Consider the following 21,707-nt stretch of genomic DNA (forward strand, 5'->3'; position numbering starts at 1 on the left):
AACCAAACGATATCAATAATTACATTAGTAAGTGTTGAAAGTATATCTTCCATCCCACAACACACATATATGTGTACATATACATTTACACATATTTGTGTATGTATGTATATCTATATATATATGTGTGTATGTATTATCCAGCTCTTTCTAGTGAAAGAGGCAAGAAGCAAAGACACCCCAGGAGCAATATGCACTCCTATCATTTAGACCTTGGTCTCTAAGAATCATTCTCCACTAAAAGTATAGAGGTTTCTTCAGAGAAATGAACCTAAAATATCTTGTTATACCAGGAAATAAGAAATGCCTCCCCAAAATAATGTGGGCATATCATAAAGGACATGGGCCAGTTTGCTGGGGCTCCCATTAGTCAAAGCTGGAACAATTTGGCACCAAATTATTAAGTACAGCAATAAATTATAAACTTTTAAAAATAGGAATTCATGTACCTGTCCATAGAAGGGAGGGAGGAGATGGAGGGAGGGAGGAGGGAAAGAGAAGGACTCTTGCTTCCAGTAGAATGCCAAATGCTAAAAAGTAACTGCAGAGGGTGTGCTGGAGCTAGAAAATCATTTTAAAACCATTATGGTAAAGACTAGATCGGGCAGGAACTGTCAGAGGATAGAAAGCAGGATATTTGCTTGGTCTTAAAGTATCTCCCCACAGCTGGTTTATTACTTGCAAGAGGGAAAATCATTAATCATAAAATGAATCTCTTTTTAGTCTGACTATGCCTCTTGGTTAACCAAATCACATCAAAAATTACAGGCCAGGCATGGTAATCTCAACACTATGGGAGGCCAAGGCAGGGGGATCACTTGAGTCCAGGAGTTCGAGACCAACCTAGGCAACAAAGTAGGACCCCCGTCTCTACAAAAAGTTTTTCAAATTAGCCATGCACAATGGCACGTGCCTGTAGTCCCAGCTACTCGGGAGGCTGAGGTGGGAGGATCCATTGAGCCTAGGAGTTTAAGGCTGTAGTGAGCTATGACCACACCACTGCACTCTAGCTTCAGCAACACAGTGAGATTCTCTCAAAAAAAAAAAAAAATTACATAAATAATTAGATGATCATCATGGCAAACCTGCTCTCCTATGATCATCTACAATACTGATTATCTTAGGCGCAGATTATCTACAATCTCAAGCAATTCCTTGCCTCTACCAAAATAACATGTTCTAAGGACCCATAACTAACCCTAAGTAGAGCCTTGTCTATTGAAAAATGAACATATCTCGGCCCCCCCGCCCAGCCAGCCGCCCTGTCCGGGAGGTGAGGGGCGCCTCTGCCCGGCCGCCCCTACTGGGAAGTGAGGAGCCCCTCTGCCCGGCCAGCCGCCCCGTCCGGGAGGGAGGTGGGGGGGTCAGCCCCCCTGCCCGGCCAGCCGCCCCGTCCGGGAGGTGAGGGGCGCCTCTGCCCGGCCGCCCCTACTGGGAAGTGAGGAGCCCCTCTGTCCGGCCACCACCCCGTCTGGGAGGTGTGCCCAACAGCTCATTGAGAACGGGCCAGGATGACAATGGCGGCTTTGTGGAATAGAAAGGCGGGAAAGGTGGGGAAAAGATTGAGAAATTGGATGGTTGCCGTGTCTGTGTAGAAAGAAGTAGACATGGGAGACTTTTCATTTTGTTCTGCACTAAGAAAAATTCCTCTGCCTTGGGATCCTGTTGATCTGTGACCTTACCCCCAACCCTGTGCTCTCTGAAACATGTGCTGTGTCCACTCAGGGTTAAATGGATTAAGGGCGGTGCAAGATGTGCTTTGTTAAACAGATGCTTGAAGGCAGCATGCTCGTTAAGAGTCATCACCAATCCCTAATCTCAAGTAATCAGGGACACAAACACTGCGGAAGGCCGCAGGGTCCTCTGCCTAGGAAAACCAGAGACCTTTGTTCACTTGTTTATCTGCTGACCTTCCCTCCACTATTGTCCCATGACCCTGCCAAATCCCCCTCTGTGAGAAACACCCAAGAATTATCAATAAAAAAATAAATTTAAAAAAAAAAAAAAAAAAAAAAAAAAAGAAAAATGAACATATCATGAGGGGTAGAGGTGGGAGAACAAAGTAAAAAATACTCAGTATATAAAGCTGTTACCTGAGCGAACTATAGAAGAATGAAGATGTTCATTCAAAGCCATATTTCCAATGACACGCATTATATTTCTCTGTACTTTAGGGCAGTCCTTGTGAAGTCGGTACAGCCTCTGAAGTAGCTGCAGGCCTCCATTTGCTTCGATTTTATCACAATGTGTGGATATCTGGCACAATAAATAAACAGAAGCTCCCTTGACATTGTACAAATTCATGACGTGAGATGACACAGCCTGGTCATGGGGACAGCTAGGTAGCTCCCACTCAAGGGCAGGGATGCAGGGAGACTCCTCAAAGCTCTTGTCTCAGCTTGCTTAAATAAGCAAATCCCTATTTAAGTGGGAAGTGCTTCAAAATCATAGAAAAAATCCCAAGAAGGCATCTCTCACCAGGACTACTAAAATCATTATTCTCATTCTGCTTAGCTCTTGGTTGGATGTAACCTGACAATGTCATTATTACAAAATTGTTTCAATTTATAGTGACACTTTGACTTGAAATTACCTTAAAACAGTTCTCACCTTGAAAAATCTGCCACCTATTCTCAGGAAATAGTCCCCTGTGCAAGCGAACAGATTTCATTCAGCAAACAAGGACTCACACAGGGCGAGACCAGTGACCTCTGTGGCCCCACACCCTATCCCACACAATGCCCACAGCTATGGGGCTGGCCTCAAACTTAGAAGTTGGAAGATTTTTTAAAAGAGAAAGATCAGGTAAAAATAAAAAGGGATTTGAAGTTTTAATGGAGAAAACAGATAAAAGAAAAAGAAAACATGCATATTGAGTTAAGGGAAGAGAACTGACCAACAAGTCAGTCTTTCTAATGTCACTGGGCACAGCTTTGCCTCTTCCCATCACTAGTTTTACTCAAGGACATGACACCATATGTACATACAGCAATTTTCACTTTCTAGATTTTTGTTACATTATATCACATTTTAAGTGCCTTAAAATGTATGCCTTTTAAATATACTGTATATCAAGTGAGATCTGCAATAATTTCAGAGATTTCTGGAAAGATAACTATTATATTCCATGCACTGTCCTTTCTACTGAAGATGCAGCTATTGCTTCAGAAAAACAACTCAGGAGACACCACACTCGAGCAAGTTTTCCCAGGTCCCTTCTGTACTACAACACCTTATTCCCTCTGCTTTGTGGTCAGTTCCTAATTTCATGGGCGAGAACTAAAGATGACTTTCTACACATGGCTTTTAAGCCATGTCCAATGTGTCCCAAAACTGAACTGGAGAGTTCCGAATCTCAAGGATGGTGTTTGTCTTGATGTGGGACAGATCACCTGCATTCACCTCACCAGGGTGCTGGCTACAAATGCAAATTCCTGGACTCCACACCAAATCTATGATGTTAAACTTGATACAAGTGAGTGGAAAAATGTGCATTTTAAAACACATTTCCTGGGTGATGTTTCTGCACTATGAGCACTACAAGGTTTGTTGCTTTTTTCTTTTTTAAACTATCATCATGACAGAAAAGTTTCTATGGTACCAAAGAGTTTAACAATCATTGATATATGCTACAGTTACACTTCAAGAGTATAGTCATCTAATATTTCCTTGTTTTTTTTTGTTTTGTTTTTTTTTTTTTGAGATGGAGTCTTGCTCTGTCGCCCAGGCTGCAGTGCAGTGGCACAATCTCAGTTCACTGCAACCTCTGCTACCCAGGTTCAAGCGATTCTCCTGCCTCAGCCTCCAAGTAGCTGGGATTACAGGTGCGCACCACCACACCTGGCTAATTTTTGTATTTTTAGTAGAGACGGAGTTTCACCATGTTGGCCAGGCTGGTCTTGAACTCCTGACCTCAGGTGACCCACCCGCCTCAGCCTCCCAAAGTGCTGGGATTACAGGCGTGAGCCACCGCGCCCAGCCTGTTTTTTCTTTTATCCTGTCACATCTTTGGCAGTTGTTTTAATGGAAATTATCTGAAAATAATATGTAAAAATATCTGAGAAAGGCAGTAGAAGACAACATAACTCAAAGGCAAATGCCACATTTAGATGATAGGCTGCTTTCTTTTAGGCAATTAAATAAATTTTTAGAAATACTTAGCAAAATAGAATCTCATTTATTGGTGCTAAATCATGATTATTCTAACAATTAAAATTGGAGGAAAGCAGAAATTTAAAAATAAGTGAAGGGCTTTTCTCCTTTTACAGTAAATGATTATTGCCCTTGCAAAAATCAACCTATATAATTATTTCAATAAAATCATAAAAAGTAAACTACATTTTGAAAATGTAAATTACCTCAGAATGTTTTACTATAGCTTCTAAACAGAACATTTCCACTGTTGCTGAAGGAACTTCTCCAAAACTTTCAGCATAAGGAAGTCCATTTCCTCCAAAACACCATAAACCACCCTGAAATTAAAATAATTAAAATTTTTACTGAAAAAAAGTGACTAATATTTTTGTTTGACAAAAAAAAAGAAATCTCTGTACTAATAGATGGTGTTAGAAAATACTAATGTGTAGGGCCTCAAAATATGTTGGAAATGTAAAAGGAACTTTATGCAAACTGTGGGTTATCAGAATAGAAAACATACAAATTATTCCAAGAAGAGCGCAACCTGTGTCCTCGTCAAGTCTCTCCTCTGTGTCCTTTTGTATGAAAGTGTGAAGACTAACTCACAATTCTTTTAACAAGTAAGAAAAGCCCAGGATGTTCTAGTGTCATCTCTTTCAGCCCCCAGTAGTCACTACAGTATATTATTTTCCAGATTCTGCTAATAGCCTACTTAAAGTCTAATAATCAATATAATTCAAAAGATATAAAGCATTATTGGACAAGTTAAAAAGAAAGAACACGATGACAATGATCACAGAGCTTTCAATTCTTCTTAAGTTGAAATTCAATTCAAGTTCTTATGGAAGGATAAACAAAAATCGTTACAAAAATTACAAAACAGAAGAGTAGTGGGGACTATTTCTAACATATTAAAACATAAATAAAAACATTTCAATTTTCTATTGAATGTTTTCAAAATTAAAGCATTTCAATTTCAACTCTTATCACAGATCAAGGGTTAATGTCACTAATATGCAATAATCTCCTACAAGTCAGTGACAAAAAATACCAACACTATTATAGAAATACAAGCACAGTCATAAACATAAAGTTGTTAGGAAAATAAATACAATGCCTCTAAAATATATAAGAATATATTATAAATTATATATTATATATTTATATATTGTATAGTATATATTTACATTTATTATATACTAATATACTATATATTTATATCTATATATTATATATGTAAATTATATAATATATTTATATTTATATTTTTATATTTTAGAGGCATATTTCTAAATATAATTCATTATATATAAAATACATAAATATAATATAAATATATTTTTTGTATATTTATTTTATAAATATATATAAACAACGCTCAGCACTGTTCATAATGAGAGGCGTGCACACTGAAAGGACACTAAGAAGCTACATTTGTCATCCATCGAACAGACGAGGTTCTAGGGAAACAAGCACGCACAGCACCCTGCTGCGAGTGGTATCAATGGCACGACTTCTATGGAGGACAACCTGGCATCGGTGATCAAGATCACAAGTGCACATGCCCTTTAATAATTGATCCTACAGAGATGCTCACACACAGGGAAAGTGATAGATATGCAAGTTTGCTAGCTGCTGCATTGTTTGTATAATAATAAAGACTGAAAACCAGCTAATATTTATCAATGGGGGTTAGTTAAATCAATTATGGTACAGTTGTACAATGGAATGCCATGCCGGTCTGAAAATTTTGAGTCTCTTCTTACACTGATATATACCAATCTCCACAATAATCCTTAAGTGAGAAAAAGGTATAGAACAGTGTGTATGTATCCTATGCTACTACTCGTGTAGAGAGAGAGAGTGTGTGTGTTGGGGTAGGAGAGATGGAAGGAATGGAGAGAAGATGTATTGCTGCATTGCTGTAGGTGCTTTGGAAGTGCTTCACTTTGGAGCTAGGGTCATAATTGTGTGCATACAGCCCACCTGCTGGCAAAAGAGGACAACTACAAGGTAATGGCTAAAAAATGTATATATTAATATAAAGCCCAGTGTTTTCCATAGGAAATATAATCCATAAGATTCTGCATTTTTAGTTAATTTATAAGGTCCATGGTTCAGTAAACCAACTAAAAATAATTTTTGGCCACTCTATACTTTTTATTCATGCCTTCTTCTCGTATATAATATTATTTTTTTCTAAATTTAAACATGCTTGGATCTCAGAGTCACATCATTTAAACTGAGGACTGAGATGGGGCTAAGTCATGAAAAGTCGTCCTTCTCTGGCAGAGACAATGGTAAATAGTGGATTGGTAAGCTTTGTCGGGGGGTAGGAATTTTTAGTTGAAGATTTATCGCCACATCCTGGCTCCCCCAAACCCCTCTTCCCACCTTGTACCCTTGAATTATCTATCTCATCTAGTTCTACTCTAAATTCCCCAAGGACAGAGAGGAGAGAAGGCAAAGAAAAATGATCTAGGACTTTCATTTGTCTTGGCCATTTCCGCAGTGTGATGTAGAGTGCAGTTCCCATTTCATTCTCACTTTTGGCGAAGCTTGTTACCTATGAATTGGCAGATTTTGTGGCAGTAAGAAGTACAAGCAAAAAGGAATGAATACAAAGGAACAAACTCACAGTATGGTTGTATGGATTATATTCTAAACCCTAATGTAAAAATAAATGTACATAGTTACTGCTACTTTATACTGAACTAAGATATGACAAGACTAAATAAATTCATAAAGATTTAAGAAACACCAAACATCAAATTCTATGAGTGCAACAAAAAATAATTTTATAAGGATTAAGGAAGTGCACAGGAAAAGCTAGAGAATGACAATATTAAAAACAATAATAAAGAGTAGGTACAGGCCGAGCGTGGTAGCTCACGCCTGTAATCCCAACACTTTGGGAGGCTGAGACAAGTGGATTGCTTGAGCCCAGGCGTTCAAGACCAGCCTGGTCAATACAGTGAAACCCCATCTCTACAAAAAATTAGCTGGGCAAGGTGGTGCACACCTGCTGTCCCAGCTACCCGGGAGGCTGAGGTGGGAGGATTGCCTAGCCCAGGGAGGTCAAGGCTGCAGTAAGCCATGATCATGCCACTGCACCCCAGCCTGGGCAACAGAGTGAGACCCTGTCTCAAACAGACAAAAAAAAAAAAGGAATAGGTAGAAAAATGGAAAGGCAACAGTAATATAAAAGAGCTAATCTCTGGTGTTAATTTTTTTTTTTTTTTTTTTTTTTTTGAGATGGAGTCTCTCTCTGTCGCCCAGGCTGGAGTGCAGTGGTGCAATCTCAGCTCGCTGCAAGCTCCGCCTCCCGGGTTCAAGTTATTCTCCTGCCTCAGCCTCCTGAGTAGCTGGGACTATAGGCATGTGCCACCACGCCCAGTTAATTTTTTGTATTCTCAGTAGAGATAGGGTTTCACCATGTTAGACAGGATGGTCTCGATCTCCTGACCTCGTGATCCGCCCGCCTCGGCCTCCCAAAGTGCTGGGATTACAGGCGTAAGCCACTGCACCTGGCCCATCTCTGGTGTTTCTTCATAAAAAGTTACAACCTTAGAGCTCTGTGATTTGTGCAAACTAACTGGGCTTTAAAATGATGTTCATTCTAAAGCAAGAGTTTTTAACAAGGGTCCTTAGGGGTATGGGGTAGATAGAATTCAAGGCAGGTAGGGTGTAAACTTGGATGGAAAAAAAAATTACCTTTGTTTTTTCCTAACCTCTAACTGATATTCTGCATAGTATTCAGTTATGAACACAGACAATAAACCACAGTAACACTAGCAGTACCTGTGATTCTAGCAGTAAGGGAAAGCACAGGTATTTTCATATCACATCTCATGTTGCAGCTATCTGAAAATACGGTTATATTCACTCTTCCTTTCAATGCCAACTATCACCAAACGGTGAAGTTGCACATTCTCATACTAGTGATCCCAAATCTACACTGCTTTCAGCATTCCCTAGCAACAATGGTTTGAGATCAACAGTTCAATGTTCTTATTCAGTGAAGCATCAACAGCATTCACACTGATGTCATTAAAAAATAAAAGGTACATATTGAATGGAACCATATGAAGCTGCCTCTTTCCCCAGCTCTATCCACTGAAGGCCTGAAAGCAATGACAGCAGCAATGAGCTTACCTAGCCCAGAACTTGGTTACTAAATACCATTAGCCCTAAAAGGAACCAAGCCTGCTTAAAAAATCAGCTTATTCTAGGGCTAGAACAGGGAAAGTCTAAGATGAACATTTTCTAATACCAAAAAATAAGCAAGAACTCCAAAAATAATGAATGAAACCATTTACAAAAGACATGGGAGACAACCTGAAGGGGCTCCCACAGCCAAACCTGGGACAATTTGAACATCAGTATGAATAAGGATAGTAAGAGATTATAATCTAGTGAAGAAAAATAACCATGTGTTATCCCATATGGATTAGAAAAGCAGAAAGGAGAAATGAGAGGAAGAAGAAAGCTTTTCCTACAGAAGAATACTAAATAAATGAGTAAGGAGTAATAAAATTAGGGGGAAAAACTCAGCATTTTGCAACCACCTAACAATAACTGTTATTCAGGCAACATTCATTCAAAGATTATTATTAAATAAAACCACTGGCTGAAAGTTTGAAGAGCAACAGGACAGTCTCCTAATCTCAAAGTATCTCCTCCTCCTAAAATCGTGTATTAATTTCAAATACATAAATATATTAACATTCAAGCAGAGAAAACTGGCAGACATCACTTTAACCAAGTGAACAAAGGAAACATCAGCCAATAAGTGTTGAGCTGGCATCACGTGCTTCTGGGCATGACATACTGGGAAGGACACAAAATCACCTCTATCGTATTCCTGTAATAAATGCACACTCAAATTTAATCATGAGGAAGCATGAGACAAACTAAACTAAGGGCCAATCTACAAACCACTGCTTTGTACTCTTCAAAAATGTCAATGTCATGAAGACAGAGAAAGGCTGAAAAAATTTTCAGGTAAAAGGAGACTAAATACACAAGACTCACATGCAATGCTTAATACCAGACTAGATCCTGAAATAGATTTTTTAAAAAGAAAAAAGCTGTCATAGGCTGGGTGCAGTGGCTCATGCTTATAATCCCAGCACTTTGGGAGGCCAAGGCAGGCAGATCACCTGAGGTCAGGAGTTCGAGACCAGCCTGATCAACATGGTGACATCCCGTCTCTACTAAAAATACAAAATTAGTCAGGCATGGTGGCGGATATGCCTATAATCCCAGCTACTCAAGAGGCTGAGGCAGGAGAATTGCTTGAACTGGGGAGGCGGAGGTTGCAATGAGCCGAGATCGCGCCACTGCACTCCAGCCTGGGTGACAGAGCGAGACTTCATCTCAAAAAAAAAGCTGTCATAAAAGAATTACCGGGAAAATTCAAATATGGAGTATTCAAATATTAGACAACAATATTATACCAATATTAAATTTTCTGAATCGATAACTGTACTGTGGTTCTTTCAGGGAATGTCCTTGGGGCATCAGGTCTGTACCTAATGAATGGCTCAGGCAGAAAAATATTAAATGTGTGTGAATAGGTCCGTTAAAATATACCTGCAGAGAGATGGAAAGTAAAAGGGAGGGATGATATAACAAATGGGATAAAATGTTAGTAATTGGTGAATCTTTTTTTTTGAGACGGAGTCTCACTCTGTCACCCAGGCTGGAGTGCAGTGGTGCAATCTTGGCTCACTGCAAGCTCTGCCTCCCCGGTTCACACCATTCTCCTGCCTCAGCCTCCCAGGTAGCTGGGACTACAGGCACCTGCCACCACGCCTGGCTAATTTTTTTGTATTTTTAGTAGAGATGGGGTTTCACTGTGTTAGCCAGCATGGTCTCAATCTCCTGACCTCATGATCCGCCTGCCTCGGTGTCCCAAAGTGCTGGAATTACAGGCGTGAGCCACTGCGCCCAGCCAGTAATTGGTAAAACTTAATGAAATGTATTATTTTCGCAATTATTTAAATTTGAAATTATTCCAAAATAAAAAGAGAAAAATTTTAATTAACTTCAACTTTCATGTTTTAAATATATTTTCTTATTATTGAATGCATCCATACATATATTAATTATATCAGAATTTATTTTCTCTTTTGATAACAGTATTTCAATATAATTTGTTTCCTTTGTAATCTTATGTATTATATTTTATGCATTTAGAACTGAGTTCCTAGACTTTACCAAATCACCAAAGGAGTCCATGGTATTCAAAGGTTAAGAACCCTGTTCCAAAACCAAGCATTATCGTGTTGGCTGTATGCTGGGGCTGACAGTCGCCTCTGTACGTGAGGAGTTTTGTTTTATTTTTTAGAGATGGGGTTTCACTATGTTGCCCAGGTTGGAGTGCAGTGGCTGTTCACAGAAACTATCATAGAGCACCGCAGCCTCGAACTCCTGGACTGAGGTATCCTCCTGCCTCAGCCTCCTCAGTAGCTGGGACTACAGGCATGGGCCACTGTGCCCAGCTTGAAAGCAGTTTTATATAGAAACAGCACACTGACACTGAAGGGCCCTTGGGGACCACTATGAGGCAGGTCTGTCATAAACTGGGCAGACAGATCACTACAAACCAGATGGACTCTCTCCACCCACCATGTCAGCACCCCCAGCTTCCTGGCATATGTGAAATCCAGGAGGCATGATAAACTTGAGGCAGAGTAGGGGGAATAAGAATAACTAAAAGGCAGCCAGGTGCAGTGGCTCATGCCTGTAATCCCAGCACTTTGGGAGGCCAAGGCAGGCGGATCACGAGGTCAAGAGATCGAGACCATCCTGGCTAACATGGTGAAACCCCGTCTCTACTAAAAATACAAAAATCAGCTGGGCATGGTGGCTCGCGCCTGTAGTCCCAGCTACTTGGGAGGCTGAGGCAGGAGAATCGCTTGAATGCGGGAGATGGAGCTTGCAGTGAGCCGAGATCAAGCCACTGCACCCCAGCCTGGCAACACAGCGAGGCTGTGCCTCAAAAAAAAAAAAAAGTAAAAAGCAGTGCTTACTCGCCTAAAGAGATGAGACATTAGAATTACAATTAAATATTTATTTAAATATTAAATTAATTAAATATATGCTACCTCTTGTTTAAAAAAAAAGAACAGGGACTCAAATCAAAGTGAAACTAGTGCCTTCCAAGTGGAAAAATCAAAGGTGCTTCATTAAACATAAAGCATTCGTTGTTTTTTGTTTGTTTGTTTGTTTTTTGAGACGGAGTCTTGCTCTGTCATTTAAAAAAAAAATACTAAAAACAATGTATTTACTTAAAGGATGGATATATGTGTCTGTGATCTGCCCAAGCAGAATGGAAATGTTTCAAGTGTCAGTTTCATCATTTCCAGTGTGATCTATGGCTCCTAAACACACTGAATTGGAGTAGCATAAAGACAATGCAATCAAAAGGTCATACGGGCCAGGCACGGTGGCTCTCACCTGTTATACTAGCACTTTGGAAGGCTGAGGCAGGGTGGACCTCTTGAGCCAGGAGTTCGAGACCAGCCTGGGCAACATGGCGAAACCCCGTCTCTACCAAAAATACAAAAAAAATTAGCCAGGCATAGTGGTACACGCCTGTAGTCCCAGCTACTTGGGAGGCTGAGGTGAGAGGATCACTTGAGCCCAGAAGGTGGAGGTTGTAGTGAGCTGAGACCATGCCACCGTACTCCAACCTGGGTGACAGAGTGAGACCCTCATCTCAAAAAAAAGGTCATACGAATTACTTTTTCAGAAAAACTTTGGTTAGGGGAAGATCTTTAAAATGAGGCACCTGAAATGGGTAGGGGAGGGTGGTGGAGAAGTTGTCAGAAGACGCAGGTCCTCTCCAAGGCGGTGAATGTTAAAACACACAAACACATGATATGTTAACTATGAACACACACACACATATGCACAAGGCCAATTTAAACTATGTAACTCTTTAAACTACTGGCTGAGGCCAAGAATTCTGCACCAAGCAGCAGCATAGTGGGGCCAGTCACAGTGGCTCACGCCTGTAATCCCAGCACTTTGGGAGGCCAAGGCGAGCAGATTACCTGAGGTCAGGAGTTCGAGACCAGCCTGACCAACATGGTGAAACCCCATCTCTACTAAAAATACAAAAAAATTAGCCTAGTGTGGTGGCACATGCCTGTAGTCCCAGCTAGTCGGGAGGCTGAGGCAGGAGAATTGCTTGAGCCCAGGAGGCAGAGGTGGTAGTGAGTCGAGATCACACCACTGAACTCCAGCCTGGGTGACAAGAGGGAGACTCTGTCTCAAAAAAAAAAAAAAAAAAAAAAGGTAGCATGGTGGTATTAAACCACTTTCCCTCTCTTCACTTGGCAAAAGGTAAGGTTACAGAACACTACAGAAGGTAGAGGAATATTAACTAAATAGTAACGTCAGGCCAGGTCTCAGGAGCTCCGACATGGGGGTGCAGGAGATAATTTAGTGATGGGAGTGGGAGACACCATGGCAGAACACAGAGAAGTACACAAGACCCTGTCTATAAATAGCCTGGTCCCAACCAAGCTGAAACTATCAGATGTTAGACAAGGCCTGCTGAAATTGAGGTGGTTCCCTGGCTTCCAGATGAAAAGCAGGGGCATAAGAATAGAGAAGGGATGAATACAGATTTAGATAAGAAACTACTTGGCATGACAGGGTTGTGGTTTCCTAGGTTTGACACCAACAGCACAAACAACAAAAGGAAAAAATGTATAAATTGGACTTCATCAAAAATGTTTTTTATTTTTAAATTTTTTTTAGAGACAGGGACTTGTTCTGTTGCCCAAGCTGGAGTGCAGTGGCATGATCACTGCTCACTGCAGCCTTGAATTCCTGGGTTCAAGTGATCCTCCTGCCTTAGCTTCCTGAGAAGCTGGGACCACAGGCACACACCCCACAACTGGTTAATGTTTTTCTTCTTTGTAGAGATAGTCTTGCTATGTTGCCCAGGCTGTTCTCAAACTCCTGGGCTCAAGTGATCTTCCCACCTCAGCCTCCCAAAGTGCTAGGATTACAGACATAAGCCACCATACCTGCCCAGACTTCATCAAAATTAAAACATTTGGGGTGCACAGGTCACTATCAAGAAAGTGAAAAGAACCCACAGAATGGGAGAAATATCTGCAAATTACATATCTAATAAGAGATTTGTATCCAGAATATACAAAGAGTTCTTACAATTCATCAATATAAAGAATTCTTACAATTCAACAATATAAAGAACTCTTACAACTCAACAAAAAATTTCAACTCTTACAATTCAACATATCTAATAAGAGATTTGTATCTAGAATATATCAAGAACTCTTACAATTCAACAACAACAACAAAAAAAGTCCATTTTTAAATTGGGTGCTGCAACATGAAAAGATGCTTCAAAAAGGACAAGTAACCCAATTTTAAAATGAGCAAAGGGAGCCATGGTGGCTCACACCTGTAGCCTCAGCTATTCAGGAGGCTGAGGTGGGAGGATCACTTGAGCCCAGGAGTTCAAGGCTGTAGGGCATGTTATGATTTTGCCTGTGAATAGCTACTGCATTCCAGCCTGGGCAACACAGTGAGACCTCATCTCAAAAACAAAAACAAAATCACTAGTTAAAAAAAAATTGGGCCAAGGATTTGAATAGGTATTTCTCCAAAGAAGATATGTAAGTGCCAACAGCACGTGAAAAGATGCCCAACATCATTAAGCATTAGGAAATGCAAATCAAAGCCAGAATGAAGATACTACTTCACACACAATGGGATGGCTAGAATAAAAGATGGACAATAACATATATTGCTGGTGGGAATGTAAAATGGTAAAGTCTCTGTGGAAAACATTTGAAAGTTACTCAAAAAGTTACTTACCATAACACCCAGAAATTCCACTCCTAGGTATATACTCAAGAAAACTGAACACATACATCCACACAAAGACATGCACATAAATGTTGATATTGAGATCTAATAAGAAATACGTATTTGGTCTCTACCCCTGGTTCCCTCCAGAGTGATGAGTGTCTTTTGTATGCTAATGAGATGACTGGTGGACGGAGGGCCCCTAAATAGTTTCAGGAAGGGGGCTGGTGGCCAGAAAGACTAAGGGCATGATTAGATGGTAGGGACTTTCTGCCCTACTCAACCTCTAGGGAGGACAGAGGGCCTGAAGGTTGAGGTGATCACCAAAGGTCAATGAGTCAATCAATCATGCCAACTGATTAAAACCATGAAAATCTGAAGGACAGGGTTCAGAAAGTTTCTGGATACCGGAACCCGTGGAGATGTCTGGAGGGTGATGCACCCGGAGGGGCATGAAGGCTCAGCGCCCCTTCCTACATAGCTTGCCCTACGCATGTCTTCCATCTGCTGTCCATCCCTCTCCTCTGTCATATCCTTTATAATAAACGGTAAGCATAAGTAAGGTGTTTTTCTGAATTCCATGAGTCGTCCCAGTAAATTAATCAAACCCAAGGTGGGGGTCATGGGCACTCCCAGTTTATGGCTGGTTGATCAGAAGCACAGGTCACACCTGGAACTTGTGACTGGTATCTGAAGTGGGGGGCAGTCCTGTGGGACAGAGCCCTTAACCTATGGGCTCTGACACCATCTCTAGGTAGAGATGTCAGAACTGAACTAAATTGAAGGACACTGAGCTGATGTTTGATGGAGAATTGCTGAGTGTGTAGGGAAAAACCCTCCACACTCCTGGTGTCAGAAGTGTTAAGTGGTGTGAGAAAGTAGGAAAAATGCTTTGCTTTTTTCCTATCTTGTACAGTACAGTTTTTTTTTCCAATGAGAAATGTTCATAGCAGTATTATTCATACATAATAGCCAAACAATAGAATGTTCATAGAAGTATTATTCATACATAACAGCCAAAGAATAGGAATGACCCAAATGTCCATCACTGATGAACAGATAAATAAAATGCGGCATAGCCATACAATGGACTATTACTTGGCCATAAAAAGGAATGAAGCACTGATATGCCACAGTGTGGCTGAGCCTTGAAAACATTATGCTAAGTGAAGGAAGTCAGACACAAAAGGCCACATATTGGATGATTCCATTCATACGAAATGTCCAGAACAGGCCAATCCATAGGAAAAATAGATCAGTGGTTACCAGGGGCTGGAGAGGGGAATGAGTGGTGACAGCTAATGGTTACAGGGTTTCTTTGGGGGATGGTGAAAATATTCTGGAATTAGATTGGAGTAATGATTATACAACTCTATGAGTATATTAAAACCCAATGAATTGTATAGTCTTAAAGGGTTTTATGGTATGTGGATTAAAAAGAAAACTAGTTGAATTGGAAATATCACCATAAATTTAAGACCTTTTAAGAAAAAGGTAATTGTTCTGCTCCGTCACTTAGGTGTCTAGGAGCCCCCAGGGTCCACCAGCTCTACCTTCATGAAGAACTACTATGCACACCTAGTGCCTGGGTTTTGGACTCTTAACCTTTTCCTGTAAGAAGAACCAGATCTCCTTGGAGAAGCGGCCAAATCTTGTAGGGCAGGAAGAATCAAAAAGAGCCAGGGATACCTTGTCAAAAAACCATGGCACCTTCCAGCCACTTTGGGAACAGAATTTAAAAGCATAAGAAGGTCAGCATACAGAAAGGGCTATAGAGGCCAGACGACAGAACTCTCAGCATCAAAAAGAAAAACCATTATAATTCACTGGAGCAATTCCAAGACATGGCCCAAAAGGGGAAATTATGTAAAGTATACTAGACAAGTCATTTCTACTGATGCATCCCTAATTTCTCACAAAAGGGAAAAATGAGAAAACGCATTTAATTGGTCAAAGAATATAAAACACTGATTTTTTTTTTTTTACTGACAAAATACGTTCCTCTCATTGAGATTACATAGTTATTGCAGTTAATAATGGTGGTTATTCGTTCTGATTTCTCTTAGAGATATGAGATTTTTATAAAGAAAAACTCGCTGACATAACACCCCAAGAATATCAGAATTCAGTATTCACTGATAGCCTTTTACTTTTTCTTTTCTTTTTTTTTTTGAGACAGGGTCTCATGCTGTTGCCCAGGCTGGAGTGCAGTGGCACAATCACAGCTCACTGAAGCCTCAGTCTCCTGGGCTCAAGCAATCCTCCCAGCTCAGCCTCTCAAACAGCTGGAACTACAGGCACATGCTACCATGTCCAGCTAATTTTTTTTTAATGTTTTAAAGAGACGGGGGTCGCACTGTGTTGCCCAAGCTGGTCTCAAACTCCTGGCCTCAGGCAATCCTCCTGCCTCAGCCTCACAAAGCACTGGGCACTGGGATTACAGTTGTGAGCCACTGCCCTCAGCCCTATTCATTCTTTTTTTTTTTTTTGAGGCGGAGTCTCGCTCTGTCACCAGGCTGGAGTGCAGTGGCACAGTCTCGGCTCACTGCAACCTCCGCCTCCCGGGTTCAAGCGATTCTCCTGCCTCAGCCTCCCGAGTAGCTGGGACTATGGGCATGTGCCACCACGCCCAGCTAATTTTTGTATTTTTAGTAGAGATGGGGTTTCACCACGTTGGCCAGGATGGTCTCAATCTCTTGACCTCGTGATCCACCCACCTCGGCCTCCCAACGTGCTGGGACCACAGGCATGAGCCACTGCGCCCGGCCCTCATTCTTTAAGATAAAATTTAAGAGTTACCTCCTGTGAAGCTGTAAATGACCTCTTAAGCATAGTGAAGGGCTCCTGAAATCACCTTTATCTCTCTTACACACTCTGTGACTGTTCATTTACCTGCCTCCCTGTCATCCCTGACATCCAGCCCAGGGCATGACACACAACCAGAAGTTAGCATGTTTACTCAGTTACTGGGTGAATGCCAGCCACTGACACAATACATTGGAAAGGGTGGACACTCAAAAATATTTACTGAATGAATACATGAACTAACCTTCTGAGCAGCTAGACTCTGACTGCTTTCACTAAGAGCCAAAGATGTAAAATACTGGATACACTCATCTAGCTCTGTTTGAGGTAAGGAAGCCAGCAACTGTCTGAGCTCTTCTTCAGTGGAAGAATCCTGAAATAAAAGGAAAGGAAATTCTTCATAAATACTCAACAACTGAGTACAACAAAAAATATCCAAAGACTCAAAGCCAATATTTGCCATATATATCAAAGCCATATATTATGTGTGCATGTCTCTCTCTCTCTCTCTCTCTCTCTCTCTCTCTCTCTCTCTCTATATATATATATATATATATATATATACACACACACATATATATATGATATAGAGATCTAGGGAAAGAGATATCAGAGATTAATTACTGCTTTCAGTCTTGAAAACAGTCACCCACCCAGGTAAATAAACAATCATTTAATTTTGAATTCTATACTTTCATGTCTGCTACTTCAAACTGACAGACCTATTGTAAACTTTAACTCTCAATGTTCATCTGACATCTTGACATTCTCAACATCTTGACTCAAAATGAATTATTGCACCCTTACTAATTAAAGCTACTGCTTTTTAAATCCAGAACTTGTTACTATCTCATTTTCTCTAATAATTAATATCTAGTATGTTCATTTTTCTATTTTTCAAAAAGCTGCTAACACAGAAGTTTTAAGAGTTTCATTTTCTAGTCTAGGAAAGATACTCAAGAAACATGCTTTAAATCTATGGCAGTGTTTCTCAACCAGGGCCTGTTTTGCCCCAGAAACATCTGGCAACGTCTGGGGTCATTTTTGGTTGTTACAACTAGGGGGTGCTACTAGCATCTTGGGAGTAGAGTCCAGGGATGCTACTACACACCCTACAATTTACACAACAGCTTCCTACCACAAAGGATTATCTGGCCCAAAATGTCAATAGTGTTGAGGCTGAGAAAACCTGACCTACAGAAACTCAGAAGGGACCAACTCATGGATGCTGATATGCTATGGCATGTCACCCAATGGTTTATAGAGACTCCAAATTCCCAAAGGCAGAAAATAATATAGAAGGAACAGCCCCTCCTGAGGAACCAAATCTTTGTATAAAAACTATGATTTCAGTTTTACATTCCAGTTTATCTGCTTGTGAGAAGTAGCCAACAACTACTTTTTTAAAGTGTTTTGTACCCCAAGTGAAGATAATATATTAAACCATTTTTCACTCTCTAAATTACTATTATTATTGTTTTACTTACTTCTTTTAAAGATGGCAAAGGAGGTGGTAGGAGAAAAAAGCGAAGATCACTCTCTTCGCTTCGTGCCAAACCAATAAGAGTTTTCGGATCACAGGCTTGAGCAATTATCCTATACTGGTAATCTATTGAAAAAGCATTTTCTTTTGTTAATACCAAAACTAGCTGACAGATGTCATAAAGATTAACTGAACAAACAACTTGAAAGCACTCTAATTTTTAAACTGCTCTGCAAATTTGTAATCCAAAATTTCCCAAGTGCAACTACATTTACAACACCTATAAGCTAGATACGTTTCCAGGACTGATCTCACAATTCTCCTCAACATATATATGGAGACCGGGTCACAGCCTAACTTTTTGGAAAAAAGGAAGCTCAAAGGTGGAAACTGGTAAGTCAGAACCAATTTAACTTCTTTTTAAAACAATTCCAGCATTCAAAAGATGTTCTGACCACTACTCAAAACACATGAGGTGGCATTTAAGCCTACTGCTCCGTGGTGATGATATGGTGCTTTGGTATTCATAGTGTCCATGAATATTTAGTCTGCAGTTCCAGATAGCAGTACTTTGAATTAAACATGCCATTCTTTATATATCAAAAACAAAATTCCAACCATGAAAGCAAACATTATTTTCAATAATGGCAGTTTATAACCTGGGGTTGGCCAGTCGCCATGGTTCAGGCCTGTAATACCAGCACTTTGGGAAGCCGAGGCGGGCGGATCATTTGAGGTCAGGAGTTCAAGACCAGCCTGGCCAACATGGTGAAACCCTGTCTCTACTAAAAATACAAAAATTAGCCAGGCGTGGTGGCAGGCACCTGTAACCCCAGCTATTCGGGAGGCTGAGGCAGGAAAATAGCTTGAACCCAGGAGACGGAGGTTGTAGTGAGCCAAGGTCACACCACTATACTTCAGCCTGGGTGACAGAACAAGACTGTCTCAAAAAACAATAATAATAATAACCTGGGTGAGTACTTCTGGATCAAGTGGGGAACTTTTCCAAAATCTGTGGGCCAGGGCACTTCCTCTGATTTCTCTGATACAATAAGTCTGGAATGGAGCCCTGGAAGGCAAATTTTGAAAAATATTTCTATTCTAAATCTCCACCAACATTAAGTAAGCTTATACTTACATTATAAATTATAATTATAGCCACCAACCAATTAACAAATTAATTTGCAGAGATCTCATTCTGAGCTTAACTTTTCTTTGAGAATTTTTCTTTTTTTTTTTTTTTTTTGAGACAGTTTTGCTCTGTTGTCCAGGCTGGAGTGGAGTGGTACAATCTTGGCTCACTAACAACTCCACCTCGTGGGTTCGCAATTCTTGTGCCTCAGCCTCCCAAGTAGCTGAGATTACAAGCACACGTCACCATGCCCAGCTAAATTTTTTCTATTTTTTTAGTAGAGACAGGGTTTTGCCATGTTAGCCAGGCTGGTCTTGAACTCCTGGCCTCAAGTGACCCGCCTTCCTCAGCCTCCCAAAGTGCTGGGATTACAGGTGTGAGCCACCATGCCTGGCTGAGAAAATTATTTTTTTCTACTTTTCCCATTTTTACAAGACAGCTCTACTAACAAATTATAGTTTTATCCATGTACTATAACCAGAGAAGATATGAGTTCTTTTAAAAATATTTTTATTGTAAAATTTGTGATTTTTAAACACAATTACATATTTCAAATAGTCCATTAAAAATGATATACACAAATACAAATTGGGTACATTCGACTATTAGTATTAGAGCCAAGTAGATTGTAAAAGTAAAAGCAAACATAATTGTATGGTGTAGCAAGCAATTAAATGTACTTCATTAAATAGAAACCAAAAGAAAACTCAAGTACATTAGGTAACTATCAGAATCAAGAGTTGCTCTCAAAGAAGTATGTAACCAAATAAAACTTTGTTCTGGTAGAAAGTTACACAAATATATATACCTCATTTTTGAGCTTATTCTTACCAAACACATTTGACTACCAGTTCAGCAGGCTTTCTACTTTCCGTATCACTGAAGCTTCTTAAAATTTTTCAAATACTTTCTATATATACTAACACTGCCTGAATTATTTTCCTTCCTGAATCTCACTCCCACTCCCTTGTCTTTTTTTTTTTTTTTTTTTTTTTTTTTTGAGATGGAGTCTCGCTCTGTTGCCCAGGCTGGAGTGCAGTGGCGCAATCTCGGCTCACTGCAAGCTCTGCCTCCTGGGTTCACGCCATTCTCCTGCTTCAGCCTCTCGAGTAGCTGGGACTACAGACGCCCGCCACCATGCCTGGCTAATTTTTTTGTATTTTTAGTAGAGACGGGGTTTCACCATGTTAGCCAGGGTGGGTCTTGAACTCCTGACCTTGTGATCCAACCAGCGTGGCCTCCCAAAGTGCTGGGATTACAGGCGTGAGCCACCGCACCTGGCCACTCCCTTGTCTTTTATGTCAGCAATCAAGAGCCAGCTGAAGGCATGCCACCTGTTCAGGTAGTCTCATTACCATGCCAGTGATGGGTCTCCGACATTTCCCGCACAGCCTCGAGTCGCGTGGTTTTGTCATCTGACTTGCTCTTCCGTAGGAGCAGCCACACAGCACACTCATGATCTTCTATATCAACTGTACTAAAAGGATCTTTGCAAAAAGAAAAAGCCAAGACAATGTGAAAAGTTAAGATAATACTTTTATCTTCACTTTAAGATGGTAATTTATAAACACTGAAATCTACAATTGGAGAGTTAAATCCATATATATAGGTATTGATAAAAACTAATATTATTTGTTCTCAATTCTGTCATATTATCTTTTACAGTTATTATGAATACTGTGTGTGCTTTTTTTTGGATGGGGGGGCAGGGGTCAGTTTTGTTTTGTTTTTTGAGACAGTCTCGCTCTGTTACCCAGGCTGGAGTGCAGTGACACAATCGTGGCTCACTGCAGCTTCGACCTCTTGGGCTCAAACAATCCTCCCACCTCAGCCTCCTGAGTAGCTGAGATCACAGGGGTATACCATCAGGCCCAGCTAATCTTTTTTTTTTTTTCTAGAGACAGGGACTCAAGAAATTGCCCAGGCTCAATGTGTGTGCTTTTGTTTTGTATATTCTGGTGTCTTTCATATGTGGTCATTTTTAAAATCTTTTTCTCCCCAAAACTTTTTCAAAAAGATCAAATATATGAAAGAAATTAATAAGTTAACATAGGCTGGGCGAGGTGGCTCACACCTGTAATCCCAGCACTTTGGGAGGCCGAGGCAGGCGGATCACGAGGTCAGGAGATCCAGACCATCCTGGCTAACACGGTGAAACCCTGTCTCTACTAAAAATACAAAAAAAAAAAAAAAATTAGCTGGGTGTGGTGGCGGGCGCCTGCAGTCCCAGCTACTCGGGAGGCTGAGGCAGGAGAATGGCGTGAACCCGGGAGGCAGAGCTTGCAGTGAGCAGAG

The 21,707-nt window shown here is 40.6% G+C and overlaps 1 protein-coding gene across 7 annotated transcripts in view; it reads right to left on the minus strand.

Annotated features, from left to right (window-relative positions):
* SERAC1 (serine active site containing 1) overlaps positions 1 to 21,707 on the minus strand; it is a 58,744-nt gene that overhangs the window by 16,496 nt on the left and 20,541 nt on the right. For 6 of the 7 annotated variants that reach the window (XR_007059349.1, XM_006715586.4, NM_032861.4 and 3 more), the window contains 5 exons: positions 20,768 to 20,899; positions 18,285 to 18,406; positions 17,042 to 17,170; positions 4,359 to 4,472; positions 2,094 to 2,256 (listed from right to left, as the gene is read on the minus strand). Coding sequence is in view for 5 of the 7 variants with exons in the window: in XM_006715586.4 (XP_006715649.1) it covers positions 2,094 to 2,256; positions 4,359 to 4,472; positions 17,042 to 17,170; positions 18,285 to 18,406; positions 20,768 to 20,899 (660 nt within the window). In the remaining 2 variants the exon portion in view is untranslated. The remainder of the gene's footprint in view (positions 1 to 2,093; positions 2,257 to 4,358; positions 4,473 to 17,041; positions 17,171 to 18,284; positions 18,407 to 20,767; positions 20,900 to 21,707) is intronic. The other variant, NR_073096.2, reaches the window with a different exon arrangement.

Source organism: Homo sapiens, chromosome 6, assembly GCF_000001405.40.
Source record: "Homo sapiens chromosome 6, GRCh38.p14 Primary Assembly".
NCBI lineage: Eukaryota > Metazoa > Chordata > Mammalia > Primates > Hominidae > Homo > Homo sapiens.